This window comes from Homo sapiens, chromosome 8 (genome assembly GCF_000001405.40).
Source record: "Homo sapiens chromosome 8, GRCh38.p14 Primary Assembly".
Lineage (NCBI taxonomy): Eukaryota > Metazoa > Chordata > Mammalia > Primates > Hominidae > Homo > Homo sapiens.
This window is the reverse complement of record NC_000008.11, coordinates 13445179-13462168: the sequence shown is the minus strand read 5'-3', so window position 1 is coordinate 13462168 and position 16990 is coordinate 13445179. Positions and strand designations below refer to the sequence as shown.

The 16990-nt window shown below is 37.6% G+C and overlaps 1 protein-coding gene across 6 annotated transcripts in view; it reads left to right on the top strand.

Annotated features, from left to right (window-relative positions):
* The window catches only part of DLC1 (DLC1 Rho GTPase activating protein), a 521260-nt gene that overhangs the window by 142452 nt on the left and 361818 nt on the right, over window positions 1-16990 (top strand). The window lies entirely within an intron of this gene.

The following is a 16990-nucleotide window of genomic DNA, read 5'->3' as shown; positions in this document are numbered from 1 at the left end:
TGGTGAACCATGAGGCGTCTGGCCTTGCAGTGGTAATTCTGTGTCCTCCTAGAAAAAGGCTGGAGGTGAGCAACAGGAAGTCTCATTCTGCCCCTACTATTCCTATAATGTGCCCATCCCATTTGTAATACAAAGATGGAACAGAGAGGAACAAGAAGAAAGATCGTAAAACGGGGCTTTCTCTCCACTACTGCTGAGGTGAGAGGAGCAAGATATGACCAGAGATAAATACCTCACTAATATTGTTGCTGGTAGATCCACAGAAGCATCACACAGCATGTCACAGGCTGCATCCTCAAATACTGTGTGTATTAACTTAATTATCAATGAGGAAGATAGTACGGGGTAACGAAGAGCATCGGCATCAGAGAGGAGAGATGAGGCTCCCTCTGCCACTACTTAGCTGTGAGATCCTGGGTGGGTAAGTCATTGAATCTGTTCCCTATCCTGTAGAAAAGACAGAGGGAATGGAACACTTTGCGGAGAGGATGGGCATGGCCTGGGACCAAGCATAATTTGAAACTAATAATAAATAATAATAAACCAATAGTAAATAAATAAACCAATAATAATTTTATATCTCAGAAAAGGACAAAAACTATCATCATCATTATTAAAAACTACAGAAGATAAACTCAACAAAAATCTTGTCTGATGGAAGTTGATAGACTCCACAGTGTTTATCACCTAAAGGCAGAGGCCTGCCCTTGGCAGGGCAAGGACAGAAGGGGTCAGGCAGGGAGAGGCAAATACATTAATGTTTATAAAGGGGTGGAGGGAAGCTCCTGTACATGTTTGTAAATGTTCAGACATATTGTGTGGATTGAAATACCAAATTTTCATGTAAAGAAATGGAGAAATCTCCATAAGACACATTGGTATGGGATACAAATACCCTGGCATGGTAGCTTCCCTCATTATCATGTTATTCCTACACATATTTTGCTGTCATTGCTGTTGAGACAGGCTCTTGCTCTGTCCGCCAGGCTGGGGTGCACTCGCACCATCATAGCTCACTGCAGCCTTGAACTCCTGGGCTCAAGCAAACCTTTTGCCTCAGCCTCTAGAGTAACTGGGACCACAGATGTGCACCACCATGCCCAGCTAATTTATTTCTTTGTAAAGACAGGGTCTTGCTCTGTTGCCCAGGCTCATCTCAAATTCCTGGGCTCAAGTGAACCTCCTGCCTTGGCCTCCCAAAACGCTGGGATTACAGGGATGAGCCTTGGCACCCAGCCCTACATATATTTTTACACGCACAGGACCCTGTTTTTCCCCTCACACTGTGAAATAAGCCACTGTAACTCCATAGAGGAAAGAAAACTGTTTCCAGAATCAACGCACAGAGCACAGGCGCTTATTGCATGCACTGCGATTCCTAAGAATGCCTGGCTGTAATATCAGACGTAAGCCCCACATGTGTAGTAACTCCTTTTACCCTTGCAAAGGCAGGAGTCTGCCATCAGGAAAGATCAGCAGAAGTGTCTATCTGCGTCCCTTTATTTTGATCCACACCATCATTTCCCCCCAGAGTATCTCCTTGTCTTTTCTCTTGTCCTTTCCTGGAACCCTCTACTACCACAGCTTCACTCTCATACCCTTTAGGGTGACACTTGTTGCCTTGGACTGTAAATGCTTCCTTACTTTGATCCTACCCTAGGAGATATTCCAGGATGGAGATGGATTTTTATTTGCCTTTGCAAAGCCCACACACAATCAGGTCTAAATATCTTTTATGATGACTGAATGAATGAACGCCCAGAACACGTGCAGTGAGCTTACGGTGAATCTGTACAGAAGTCTTTTAGTAAGACAGTCAATGTTCATGGAGCTGTTATAAAAAAGGAAGACATTTTGCAAGGAGCCATGGGAGATGAAAATTTGTATGCAGAGGAGAAACATAGTCTTTTAAATGCTGTGAGGCAATCAGAGAGATGGGCCTTTTCCAATGAGGACAAGCAGTGTATTTTAGAATCCCCCAAATGATACAGACAATACACATCAGGATAAGACATATCAGGTAAGGATTCATGTGCTCATGTGCTCAACCATTCTTGATCGAGAGCTTTATTGAGTTCCTAACACTGCCTTAGATGCCAGTCCTGCAGCAGTGAGCAGAATCACTTGGGGAAGTTTCAGAGGGGGCAAGATGAAATAATTCAATTGAACTGAAGGGTGGGTAGCTTCAGACACAGGCAGAGAAGAACCAGGAGGTCCTTCCCGGCACAATACACACAAAGCGATATTGGGCGAGATGAGGGCGTGTCACCAGGCCACCCTCCTACTCATAAAATTATAAAAAGAGTTGTGCACAGAAACCTTTTTATAGCGTGTGTTATGTGGCATTTGTATTCTTCAAGTTTTATTATGCTTATTCACAGGAAGCAGTTTTTCCATAACATTTCCTTTTTTTTCTAAAAATCAAAGGGGTCACTATTTAGACCGGATGGGAAAGGGAAATCATAACAGCAGCCCTTCTGGAACTTGGCTGTGCGGGAGAAGTTGGCCAGAGAATTAGCATAGACCATGCTGGAGTGGCAGAACTGGGGGTCCTGGGGCCCAGGGCTCACCACTGTGCACTCCCAGCCCCTGCCCCCATTGGAACACAGCGCAGTTCCAATGAACAGAGAGACAATACTTATTTCTCTAAGAGAAAAACTGAAAAGCCTGGTAATTATGCTCAAAAGAGTTACTTGGTCATTATACAGCTACGAGGAAGGAGAGGGAAAAAACCTTTCTTTCACAACTTATTTATTGACACAATTATCTGAAAAATAAAATCAGGAAGAAAGCCATGGCTTGGAATCTTTTTGAAAAGACCACCTTCTGACATTGGGATAGATCCAGAGAAGGTCAACACCCTCCACTTCCTGTCCCAGAGAAAGAGAAAAAAGACACAGAATGAAAGAGGGGGAGGGAAAGGAAGAAATCAGAAAAACACAGAACTTCACAGAGCTTAGAAATTCTCTAGAGATTAAGAAAAAAAGGAACTTTCAAGAGAACTAATTTTTAGCAGTTCTCTAAAAGTTCAAGAGAATTTTTAGAAGTGCTGCTTTTAGAAAATCAAACTATGGTTCATTAGGTTATTTAAAAATCATATTTCATTATTAAATATTATTCATTAGCTGGATGCAAGAAATAGATTGATGTGTGGTCATAGAATTGAATCAAAATTTTTAGCTGGTTAGTGAGTTGGACTTTAATCTACAAAAAATGCTGTTTATATCACATGAGGATTTATCTTTCATATGCTATTGTGCATAACTAATTTCCAAATCAAGAGTAAGTAAACTTTTTAAGATTTTTAACAATAGTCATAAGCGCATCTTTTTTTTTTTCCAAATGAAGAAAGACTGTGGGCTTGGTTTTTTAGATTATTTTATATTACACATATGGAGGTAGGACAGTAGTGACAGTGTCCCCAAATCTGCTTTGAGGGAAAGAAATCATAATTATGGATTTAGCCCTTATTTCAAAAGGTTATTTGAAGTATTTTCACCTACTGACATACGAAGTGACAGCAACATTTGTGATTTCATAATTGTAGTAGTGACTTACTATCAGATGACTGTTTTTAGACATTGCACAGTGTGATCTCTGTGGTAACAGAGAGCAAAGTATTATTTTGGAGTTTTTTCAAATGCCAACTTAGCATTTCAAATAACAAGGGAATTACTTAATGAGCTCACTCTATGTTAGAACATTTTGCTGACTGTATCTTACCAAGGCTCCAAAAAAATCAAAACTTCAATTAGTAGAAATATCAATGGGCTGGGAGTTAAGAATTCTGTGCTCTAATTCTTACTCAGTTTAATTCTGGGAAAGTCACCTCATTTTTTGTGCTCTTATTTATGGAGCAAGGTTAAAGTTTCTTCCAACTCTAAAATTATGGATCTTGCCAAAATTGCTCCATCAAAGTTACACAACTAATGGTAATAAACATAACACTCAAATTTTGGCTAGAATTAAAAATTTTTATCTCAGATAATTTGTCTGTTAAAGTTCATGTATGACTTAAACATTGTGTTCTATAGTGTCTAGACTCTTTCTACTTTCTTTTATAAAATGGATTCCGTACTGATTGCTTTAGATTCTAGCACTGAGAGCCTTTAATTTTCACATACTCTCAGTTTTTCAATTATTAATTTACTGTCCAACTTCGTGGTCTGTGTTGGTCCTTCTTGAACCTATTCTATACTTTAATAAAGTATTTCAAAAAAGATAATAAATGACAGGAATTTGGATCAATGATAAATAACTTCTCTTTTCAGCTATTCCCACACTACCATAATACAGAGGCAAAAAGTAAAGGTTTAAGAAATTCATGTTTTTCTTCCTTCTACGCAAGCAAAAATTTGATGCTACCTTGGTGGGGCAGGGATCATCGGGAATCAGGGCTGCTAAATTGCATCATTGAACTAAACCACCTGACTCCAAAGAAGGGATTGTGTGTACTGTTTTTATTTCTTTTTTTTTTTTTTTTTTTTTTTTTGAGATGGAGTCTTGCTCTGTCACCCAGGCTGGAGTGCAGTGGCGCGATCTCGGCTCACTGCAAGCTCCGCCTCCCAGGTTCACATCATTCTCCTGCCTCAGCCTCCCGAGTAGCTCGGGCTACAGGCACACATCACCACACCCGGCTAATTTTTGTAGTTTTGGTAGAGACAGGGTTTCACCATGTTGGCCAGGATGGTCTTGATTTCTTGACCTCATGATCTGCCTGCCTCGGCCTCTCAAAGTGCTGGGATTACAGGCATGAGCCACCGTGCCCAGCAACATCATCTAACTTTATCTCTTTTGATTTTGTTTCTAAGAATTTTCCAGGCATTACCAATAATATAACATAGCATGACAGGAGCATATTTTATACTATATAGTAACATTTACTAAACAGAATCATATTTTATATAATTCAACAAAATAGACAGTGGCTTTTAAAATAATTTGTCTTCATTCTTCCATTCAGTAGACATTTGTCAAACACTCATTGTGAGCACGGTATAGGGCTAGATTTAGGGAAAGTTCGCAATATTCTGACAAAGACAGACACATTTGAGAAAAATACTAAGTGCAACCAAAAGGCCGACCCAGGGAAATAGAATTGAATCAAAAACAAAGATTTTTAAATCCAATTTGTCAATGTAATACAGATTATCTAAGTGGTAATGAAGGTTGTGTTCTACAACTGGACGTTTCCAGTGATGACAACTACAAAATAAGAGGGCACCATTTGACCACATTGATAACCCTGCCGATTTAATTGATTTTCTCCAGCTTGATATACAGCTGCACCAGTCTTTGTCAGCACCTGGAAAGAGTACTATAATCACAGCTAAGTCAATGGTAGTAGAATTTGTCTTTGGAGCTGATCTCAGCATTCAAACCAAAGGCCCTGCAAAGCAGTATATTATGGAGGGGGGCACGGTGGCTCATGCCTGTAATCCCAGCACTTTGGGAAGCTGAGGCAGGTGGATCATTTGAAGTCAGGAGTTCAAAACCAGCCTGGCCCACATGGTGAAACCCCATCTCTACTAAAAATACAAAAATTACCCAGGCATAGTGGAGCAAGCCTATAATCCCAGCTACTCAGGAAGCTGAGGCAGGAGAATTGCTTGAGCCTGGGAGGCAGGAGTTGCAGGGAGCTGGGATCCAGCCCTGCGCTCCACTCTGGGTGACAGAGTGAGATGCTGTCTCAAAAAATAAAAATAAAAAAAAAAATAAAAAAGGAAGTAGAAGTATGTTATTGGAGATCTACTACCTGTCAACTCCCACAAGAAAGAAATGTAGCACATAATTCCTGCTTTCAAGGGCAATATAGGCAAGGCAAAAAAACTTTCACATATGAAACTATTGGCTGGTATCCAACACTCTGTGATGCTGATTGTGAAAGCAAAAATAATTGAGAAGAAAAAGGGCAGAATACAGAGAAATCATACAGCAATGCAACATTCAGTAACCATCTATAGATGCAAAGGCCAAAATGTTTAGAAACTAAACTGAAGTTATTAGGGATCCATGGACCCCAGAGTAAGAAGCCCTAATCTAAGATTTTGCTGTTACGGGAAACTCTGCTGCAAATCTCGAAAAGAAATGATGCTTTTCCCCTTTGACACAAAGCTTTTTAATTCTTTAGAACACTCTTTGGAAGACAACACTTGTTGAATTAGCAAATGAACAAATGAATGAATCAACAAAATTAACACAAATTTGGGGCTTTCAGACTGAACTTTGTTATCTACATTGTTTCAGTTCCATATTTGTATTTATTTTTCTTGTATTTATTTATTTTTTGAGACGTAGGGTCTTACTCTGCTGTTGCCCAGGCCAGAGTGCAGTGGCATGGTCATAGCTCATTGCAGACTTCAATCTCTGGGTTCAAGTGCTCCTCCAGCCTTGGCCTCTCAAAGTGCTGGGATTACATGCATGAGCCACCTTGCCTATCCTCGAATTTTTATAAGATGCAACTTGACTGAAATGACAACTATTAAGTGAAATGACAACTGTTGAAAAGAGAAAAACTAATTTTAGGCACAGGGTGGCCAGAGAAGAATTCACTGAGAAGGTGATTTTGGAGAAAAGACTGAAAGAGATAAGGGAGAGAGCCAGTTTTCCAGATGGGGGTGAAGGAGCTGTAGAGTCTTCCCGAATAGCTTGCAGGAGATGCTTGAGATGGAAGCTGGGGATGCAGGTGTGTCTGGAGCAGAGGGAGGTAGATGAAGTCTGGAGGAGTTAAGGCCACGAGATGAGCCAGCTGCAGCGACATTAGGCTTTGGAGAATCTTTGGCTCCTGTTCTGAATGTCATGGGACACTTGGAGTGCTTTGAGGAGAGGAAGTGTACAATCTAACACATGCATTTTAACAGACCGGCCAAGGATGTTTCTGTGTAGGCAATTGTGTGCAATGGATATACAATTGTGTGCATCTGTACATGTAAGAGTCTGCTTAAATGATGTTACCTTTTTCCCTTTATCAAAGGCAAATATTTTCAATTCATTTGTAATATTTGCTTTAATAAATAAAAAAGAATCATTTTGTTTGATTTATATGAAAAGTGTGAGTTATGAACAATGGAGTCATTTCACACCTCTTATCTAACTAATTTATTTACTCATTAAATCATTCAACAAACATTTGTTGCAAGTCTACCGTGTATCAGGCACTTGGCACATGGAGATTCAGTGAACAACAAAAAAAAACTAGATCTCAGATTTCAAAGAAGTCCCAAACATGCTTATCTATCTCCAAAATCTTTACCACCTATATACCCCACAACAAATGGTCCCAATACTGCATGCTCTACAAATATTACAAAACTCTTGGCCAGGCACAATGGCTCACACCCTAATCCCAGTGCTTTGAGAGGCCAAAGCAGGAGGATCACTTGAGGACAGGAGTTTGAGACCAGCCTGGGCAACATAAGGAGACGCTGTCTCTACAAAAATTAAAAAATTAGCTAGGCATGGTGACTCATACCTATAGTTCCAGCTACTTGGCCAGCTGAGGCAGGATGATCACTTGAGCCCAGAGGTCGACGTTGCAGTAAGCTATGATCACACCACTGCAGTCCAGCCTGGATGACAGAGCAAGACCCTATCTCTGAAGAGAAAAAACTAAACAAGAAACTCTTGTATACCTCCTTCTTTATTATGTACCCATCAGGCACATTTGTTCCAAGTCTAACTCCTTCTTTCTCTGCAGTATTGTTGAAATTTAAATATTACTTTTTGCCTTGTTAGGAACTTCATGGAAATGATCTTTTAAGAAAATAATGTACTTTGTGAATATGTTTTATATATGAATTATAGTATTTTAGGAAGACAGGAACTTTTTTTTTCCCCTAAGAGATGTTTCAACCAAGAAAATCAATTTTTTTCCAACTGCTTCTTCATTTTCTCATATTTCATGCTGGTTTTCTTTACAAGATTTTTTTTTAATGCTCATGAAACTATGACCTTGTATAAGTTTCCCAGGAGACATGATTCTCAGCATTTTGTTGGACAAACATTTGTTTTTTGTAACTACATGAACAAGCCAAATTGCACGTAGTCCAAAAAATAATTCTGGCCTTTTTAACTACACTCTTTTTCTTTTTAATGCCATATTCAAGGAATCCCAGTACAGTGGCAATTAAAACATGCGAATTTTGCCATTTAACCATGAGAAGGATTTACAGCCTTGGCACATATAGTAAGATAAGTTAACACTCTGAGGAAGGTTTCACAGTATATTCTCATTTTAATTGTCAGTTGAGTGGACATGAAGAAGGCATTTCTGTTTTACAACTTCAAATACATTTATTTACTTAAACAATATGCATAAATCAGAAACATTTACATCCTAATACATATAGTAGCAACTCATAAAGAAGACATCGTTATAATGAAATTTAACTGTAAAATAGTAGTTCTACAATTATAACAAAGTACTATTGAGTTTCAAATTACAGGACGTTGAATAAAAGAAAACCTAGCCAGGCTAAAGTCATTTCTATAAATTCTTTTGAGGATAGTCATGAGATTTCCAATGAGAGATTGCTTCCTTAAGCCAGACAAATGAATTGGCTGCTCAACTTAGTCTCAGTAAACATTTCTATCTGAAAAAAAAAAAAAAAAAATATATATATATATATATGTATATATATACATATATATATATGTATATATATATACATATATATATGTATATATATACATATATATGTATATATATACATATATATATGTATATATATACATATATATATACACATATATATATATATATATACACATATATATATATATCCTGGGCCATCTTATTCTTTTAGTAAACATCTAATGAATTTCTCTATTTTAATAATTATTACCAAAAACACCTCCTAAGGAATATCTATAAATGACTTGCCGCTTTATTAATTTTTTGATAAAATGAATCTTTAGTCTTCTTAATGCTTGCTTATATATCATTACATTACATTCTTCTTTAATTTTGTAAATATATATTTTTAGAATTTTTTAGAATAATTATATATTTTTAGAATATTTTATTTTTTTGATCCTGATGAAAATGCTGAAGATGCTCATTCTGTCTTGGGCCAGTCACTTACCTATTTCTCATTTCTTCTATAAAATGAGGATTAAATTGCCTGATAGGGTTTTGTGAGGAAAAAGTGAGGTTGTGACTATGAACTCATTCTGAAAGATTAAAACAACAACAACAACAAGAAACTGTGAGCTACTATTGTTATTTAATTACAATTACTCATATCATGGCCATTCTCATCCGGAAATTAGAGCCAGCACAGCTGTGGAGGTAGCTGAGCAAACAAGGGCATGTTAGAATATTTTGATGTTAGAGTATCCCCTCGTGGAAAGTCAACAGTCCCAAAATGACCAAGCGTGTATGATTGTATGCTTAAACTAACCCTGAAACTAAAAATTTCATCAAGTGAGATCAGCATGGTTTGGATTAATCAGGGGGGTAGCAAAATTGCAAGTTTTGGTTAATATTTTTGCTATATGTGAGGTACCAGCAAAAACATATTTTAATTCTAAGACCATCTGAGATCATCATAATGTACTGAAGGAGCTCAAGTCAGAAAACAAAGCAATACTTTCCATTAGCCACTCTATTTTCTTCTGATAGTTCTATGATAGTTATTTGTACCTATCACTTTAGCAAATGGTTGAAAAGTAAATACCTTCTTAGTTATAGCAATCTCATTATAGATTTGGGCATGAGGCTATCTGAATATTTTGATGTAAAGTAGAAATTGTTTCAGTCTCTCCTCTATCCATAGATAGGATAACATAAATTGAGTTACTTTTTTACTCTCACTGTGTGATGTTTAATTTATACAATAGATGTAACTATTGAGGTCAGTGGAGCTATAGGCAAGTATAGATATAAGCTGATTGAGTACAATTCTTAAAAATGTTAGTTTTTATACATGTTTATTTTAATGCATATTCATAAAGATATATATAATTATAAAATAATTTTTATTTATTTTAATTATTAAATTAACAAATATTTTTCATTAGATAACTCTTCAAATGTTGCTAGTTTTATTGCATCTTTTATATAAGATTTTAAAAGACTATCTCTCAAATAAAATTGGATGTCAAATGCAGCTAAAACAAGCCAGACTTAATGGCAATAAAGTCTGATTTAAAAAAATAGCCAATAGAACCCTCGTACTCTGTTGGTGTTCATGGAAATTAGTACAACCACTATGGAGAACAGTTTGGAAGTTCCTCAAAAAACTAAAAACAGAGCTACCATATGATCCAGCAATCCTACTGCTGGGTATATACCCTCCCAAAAAAAGAAATTAATGTATCAAACAGATATCTGCAATCCCATATTTGTTGCAGCACTGTTCACAATGATCAAGATTTGGAAGCAACCTAAGTGTCCATCAACACATGAATGAATAAAGAACATGTGCCCCATATACACAATGGAGTACTATTCAGCCATTTAAAAAAAGAATGTGATCCTGTCATTTTCAACATGGATGGAACTGGAGGCTATTATGTTAAGTGAAATAAGCCAGGCACAGAAAGACAAGCATTACATGTTCTCACTTATTTGTCAGATCTGAAAATCAAAGCCATCGAATTCATGGACATAGAGTGTAGGAGGCTGGTTACCAGAGGCTGGGAAGGGTAACATCAGGGTGGGGGACTGTGGGGATGGTTAAGGAGTATAAAAAATAGAATGAATAAGACCTACTATTTCATAGCACAACAGGGAGACTACAGTCAATAATAATTTAATTGTACATTTTAAAATAACTAAAAGAGTGTAATTGGATTGTCTATTACACAAAGGGTAGATGCGTGAGGGAATGGACGCCCAATTTTCCAGTATGTGATTAAGAAGCATTGCATGCCTGTACCAAAATATCTCATGTACCTCATAAATATATACACCTACTATGTATACACAAAAATTAACAGTTAAAAAATTTTTTAAATAGTCAATAAATGACTTTAATGTGGTCTAAGCCAGGCAAAAGACCTTTATACATCTTTGTTTTTTCAAACATATTTACTCTTACTTTATTTCGTTGTTATCTTAAGAAAATTTGACCTATATCTATCCTTTTTCTTTTTTTCTTTTTTTTTTTTTTTTTTTTTTTTTTTTTTTGAGACGGAGTCTCACTCTATCACCAGGCTGGAGTGCAGTGACACGATCTTGGCTCACTGCAACCTCTGCCTCCCGGTTTCAAGTGATTCTCCTGCCTCAGCCTCCAGAGTAGCTGGGACTACAGGCACAGGCCACCATGCCCAGCTAATTTTTGTATTTTTAGTAGAAACGGGGTTTCACCATGTTGGCCAGGATAGTCTCAATATCTTGACCTCCTGATCCGCCCACCTCGGCCTCCCGAAGTGCTAGGATTACAGGCATGAGCCACCGCGCCTGGCCTCTATCTTTATTTTCATTGGGATGACAATTTGATTTGGAGAACTATGTTGATGGCTGTTAATTTTGCAAGACTTATTCATGAAAACTTTTCACTCTTAAAATATGAAGTCATCAAAATATCATTAAGTTATATTCTAACAAAATTAAAAAGTTGAGAAAATAAAGAATACAATTTCAAGTAAAAATATAGTTTTCAAATTCAAATATTGTTTTCAAAATAAGCTTTCTAAGTTTGACTACCCCTAATTTTAAAAAGGTGTAACTGCAGAATTTCTCTTCGGCCTTTTTTTTTTTTTTTTTTTTTTTGAGACAGTCTCACTCTGTTGCCCAGGCTGGAGTGCAGTGGCACTATCTTGGCTCACTGAAACCTCCACCTTCCGGGTTCAAGTGATTCTCGTGCCTCAGCTTCCTGAGTAGCTAGGATTACAGTCACCCGCCACCATGCCCAGCTAATTTTTATATTTTTAGTAGAGACAGCGTTTCACCATGTTGGCCAGACTGGTCTCGAACTCCTGACCTCAGGTGATCCACCTGCCTCAGCCCCCCAAAGTGCTGTGATTACCACCCAGGCCACCATGCCTGGCCTCTCCTTGGTTCTTTAAAATAATTATGATCTATTTTACTCAATAAATTTATTTTACTAAATAATGATTTATTTTACTTAATTTGATTTATTTTAGTAAAATGATTTATTTTACTAAATAAGGAGCTAAAAACTGGCAATTTTAATGGTGCATACTATAACTGACTGCCACAATAATACAGAGTTGGGGAAGCCTGTAATCTAGTATTATAAAGTTATAGCTATCACCTAATTGAAAATTTTCCTCAATTAGATAAGAACCCCACTGCTGTGTTCTTGATACAGATTTTGATTTTTCTTCACATTGCATCACAGCCTGCCACCAAGATGCAAAATGGAAACACAGGATTTTTTTTATTATACTTTAAGTTTTAGGGTACATGTGCACAATGTGCAGGTTAGTTACATATGTACAGATGTGCCATGTTGGTGTGCTGTACCCATTAACTTGTCATTTACATGAGTTATATCTCCTAATGCTATCCCTCCCCCATCCCCCCACCCCACAACAGGCCCCAGTGTGTGATATTCCCCTTCCCGTGTCCAAGTGTTCTCATTGTTCTATTCCCACCTATGAGTGAGAACATGCAGTGTTTGGTTTTTTGTCCTTGCGATAGTTTGCTGAGAATGATGGGGAAATAGGATTCTTTCCACCTGTGTCAGGTTCCTAAATCCTGTCTTGTGTTTGCCAATGATGCATCCTATAGCCAGTACATAATAGATAAAAGTTTGCAAATTGCACTTTCTGGGTTAAAACAAACATAACACAATCTCCTCTTTGAAAGAGGTAATTATCCCTCATTTGACGCTGGGAAATATTGCCCCACACTTTCCAAAATGACCTTGCCTCCTTCTTGTTTCAAAGACAAATGTTCCCTCCATTTCTCTCTATTATATCAACTCTATGGCAGCTGAGCTGTGTGCCAATCTCCACATCTCCAAAGACTATTATTTACTCAAGTCCAACAATATATTTAGCTTTCTACATAAAAAGGGTCTTTGTCAAGCCCAGCGATCTTTGAATCTAGGTCGTTTCACAATACTAGGATGATTTTTCTTAATTGCTTCATAAGGTTAACCTCTGGAATGATTGTGGCTTGTAAGGTATATAATATGCTCATTAAATTGTTTTTTTCAGTAATCCATGAAATGCCTGAAAACAGGCATCAGCTGACAGAGTTTCTCCTGTTCTCTAAACAAAAATGTCTAAAAAAACCCATAGCGGGAAAGAACAGATGCTCCAAAACCTCCTGAAACTGCCAGAAAATGATCCCGAAAACTGGTGTTTCCTTGCTGTGAAATCTGCTAGTGTATAATACATCTGTGAAATCTGCTAGTGTATAACACATTTGTGGCCGTATATTAGAAATGACCTAATCTGTGCAAAAACTGTTCTAAAAGATTCTTTCTGAAATTAAAAGGCAAAATTAAGCACTGAACACTATGGAGAAAGGAGAAACATGGAATTAATTTTAAAAAGGATAATGTAGACACTATTCTTAAAAGAAATTTTAGGAGGCTGGGTGCGGTGGCTCACGCCTGTAATCCCAGCACTTTGGGAAGCTGAGGTGGATCACCTGAGGTCAGGAGTTTGAGATCAGCCTGGCCAACATGGCAAAATCTCATCTCTACTAAAAATACAAAAATTAGCCGGGTGTGGTGGCGCACACCTGTAGTCCCAGCTACTTGAGAGGTTGAGGCAGGAGGATCACTTGAACCAGGAGGTGGAGGTTGCAGTGGGCCAAGATTGCACCACTGCACTCCAGCCTGGGTGACAGAGCGAGACCCTGTCTCAAAAAAAAAAAAGAAGAAGAAGAAGAAGAAGAAGAAATTTTAAAAGATACAGCAAAGAAGATATTCTTTCAGTCCTGGGAAATCCCATGACTATTGCTCGAATATATACTTCTATTCCAGGGTTTCATGATTCATTCCCAACCTTTTTTCCATGTGAGTGTAAGCAGATACGCACAGGGACATCCCATGAACAGAACAAATGGCAGTGAGTCACCTGGAGAGACGCTTTCCCAGCCATAATCACCGATGTTGCCCAACTTGACTACAAGTAGTTTCCAAGATGAGTTATAGTACACTCAAAAATTATACTCTTCAGCATAGTAAAGTCATTAACATTTAGTTATCCATGCTTCCAAATATTCTAGGCCTTGGGTGTTTCAGAGATTTTGTTGTACTGTGGACAGATTTCAGGAGGATTTTCACACACACGCCATCCTAAATTTTTCAGAGCCTCATTGAATGGGCATATTTGTTTCCTAAAAATGTTAAATTTAGAGACAGGGTATTTTTATGTTTGAGAACAGTTTGCAAAACAGTCTCAAAAACTCAGGAAAACTAATTTAGCTAATCTGGTAGGAAAAAAAACACAAAGAACAAACAATAAAAATAAAGAACAACACTAATAACACCTCATACTCCAGCATAGAAGCAAATATTAGAAAAATGTTTTCTTATATGATCTTGTACATTTAATCTTCACCTACCCTCTTTGTAAACCCAAGCTGACAAAATCTTTTCAGAAATATTTTATTATAACGTTTATTACCTAGAAGAACTAAAGACCTAATATCTAATGAACGTTTTTTTCTTTTCTAAAATAGTATTGAGATGTAGATAAGTACAAAGCTCTAGAGGCAGAGAGGCTGAACAAAAATCCCATCTTCCTTACTTACTAGCTGAGTGAATCTGGTTAATAACAATAAAATATTTGATAATGTGTGGCAAAGCAAGTCCCCACAGCCACATATTTGCCTGAACAAAACCTGGTTCATGCCAAATAGGTATTACTCAATGTCACGCAAAAGGTTAGTGTCATAAATCGTATGCCTTAATAAGAAAATATAAGAATTATGTAATATTAACAGTGAACACACAAAAAATATTTAGTAAAAATCAGCATATATTTTAATCTCAGTAAGGGAAATGAGTAGACTGCCAAGGTAAACATTTTGTAACCATAGAAAAATTAACTATATTCTCATTCCAAAAATCAACATTTGGAAAACAAGCTGTTAATAAATGGAGACTCATAGCATACATGTTAGCTAATGCAATGAAGGCTTTAGAGCTCTACACACAGGGAAAGTTTAGAGAAATTTTTAAAAATCACAAGAAACATAAGAATTGAGTACTAGATTTTCCTTTCTTTTCTTCTTTACTTCCACCCTTCTTCCCTTCCTTCTTCCGTTGTCTTTCATTCCTTCCTTCTTTTTTTTTTTGAGATGGAGTTTCACTTTTGTTACCCAGGCTGAAGTACAATGGCGCGATCTCAGCTCACTGCAACTTCCGCCTCCCGGGTTCAAGCGATTCTTCTGCCTCAGCCTCCCAAGTAGCTGGGTTTACAGGCACCCACCACCACGCCTGGCTAATGTTTTGTATTTTTAATAGAGACAGGGTTTCACCATGTTGGCCAGGCTGGTCTCGAACTCCTGACCTCAGGTGATCTGCCCACCTTGGCCTCCGAAAGTGCTGAGATTACAGGCGTGAACCACCATTCCTTTTCTTATTTCCTTTCTTTTCTTCTTCCCTTCCCTTCCCTCTCCTCCTCCCCTTCCCTCCGTTCCTTCCTTGTTTCTTTCTCTTTTTTCCTTCCTTTCCTTCTTTTTTCTTTTCTTCTCTCCTTCTTTCTATGTACACAAAGCCAAAGTTCACTGGCTCCAGTGTATGATGATTTAAAACTTAGTCATGACTAAATAACAAGCCCAGGCCCATGTCTGCAATAACAGTCTTGCTCAGTGAGAAAGGTCTGTGGAACTCAAAAGATGAAAACAAGAAATGAGTGTTGTTTACATTTATCACAATTTGAAAATGGCAGAGAAAGAACAAGAATAGACTTCTTTAAATGCCCCAAAGTAGTATATTACACGAGGTAAATTTTGCGACAATTTTGCTAAAAGACATTATATCATATACTTTCCATCCCCAAGGGATGTTGCCTGAGTGATACCATAAGAGCCTGATGAGCAAAGTCAAAAGTTCTTTGTTTTCTGGAAATTATATGATCTAGTTAAACAAAGGAACACAGAGGGGGGGAGAGTTCTTTGTCTTGATGTGATTTTTCTGAAACGTAATTGATATGTTACTAAATCTCTGACCACACTGTTCAGGTAGCAACCGTGTATAGAAAGGATTTTGCCCGTGAGCTGATCACTATTTCAGTCAACAACTGTATGACCAAGTAAGGACTTAAACCATTCCCTTGCCCCTTTCTTAGGGTTATCGAAGTTTTTTCCTTAAAGATGAAGTATACTAGATTTGGGCCCAAGGGTCTAAAATGTCTATTTCTTTGTATCTCTCAATAGCACATAGATATGCTTAACTTTGGCTCCTTGGAGAAATTTCAGGTGCTAAGTATGCAGATTCTTCAGGTTTTAAGCTAATAACCTGGAAAGAAGAGAGATGTCTGGGTTACTTTTGTTTTGTTTTTCTTTCTCCTACAGCTGTTGTACTTCAGGGTAGGATGATATCACTCAAAAACTTCGGCCTCCCTATAATAAAGTTCAGTTAAGTCTATAGTCACTGGTCTGTCATAGATACTAATTTTGTCCTCACTCATTACTGTGGCTTTTCTGGAATTGACCAAGTGCTCTGCTCTTTTTGATTATTCTAATTGACAGCTTTAATCATTGGTGGTTCCTTACCTTGTGCCTATGCATATACCTTTGAGTTGAGGGTAGAATGTTGGACACTACAGGCTCTGAAGCTGTTGTTCCATTCTCTGACTTATAAGCCCTGTGAGGATTTAAACTATGTATCTGTGCTTTTCTCTCTGAAGTACAGACTTCTGTTTGTTAGTGCCTAGAGTTTCCTGCTTCCTTCCTCAGATCATTCGTTTATCCTCCCACATCTCCTCCAAAACAATTCTGCTTTCTGTTCCCTGGTTAAAGATGTGATGAATAACAGCCATCTGTGGCCAACTGCCCACTGACTTTTGAACAGAAATTGAGACACCAAGAGCATGCAATAAGATCCAACCATAAAAC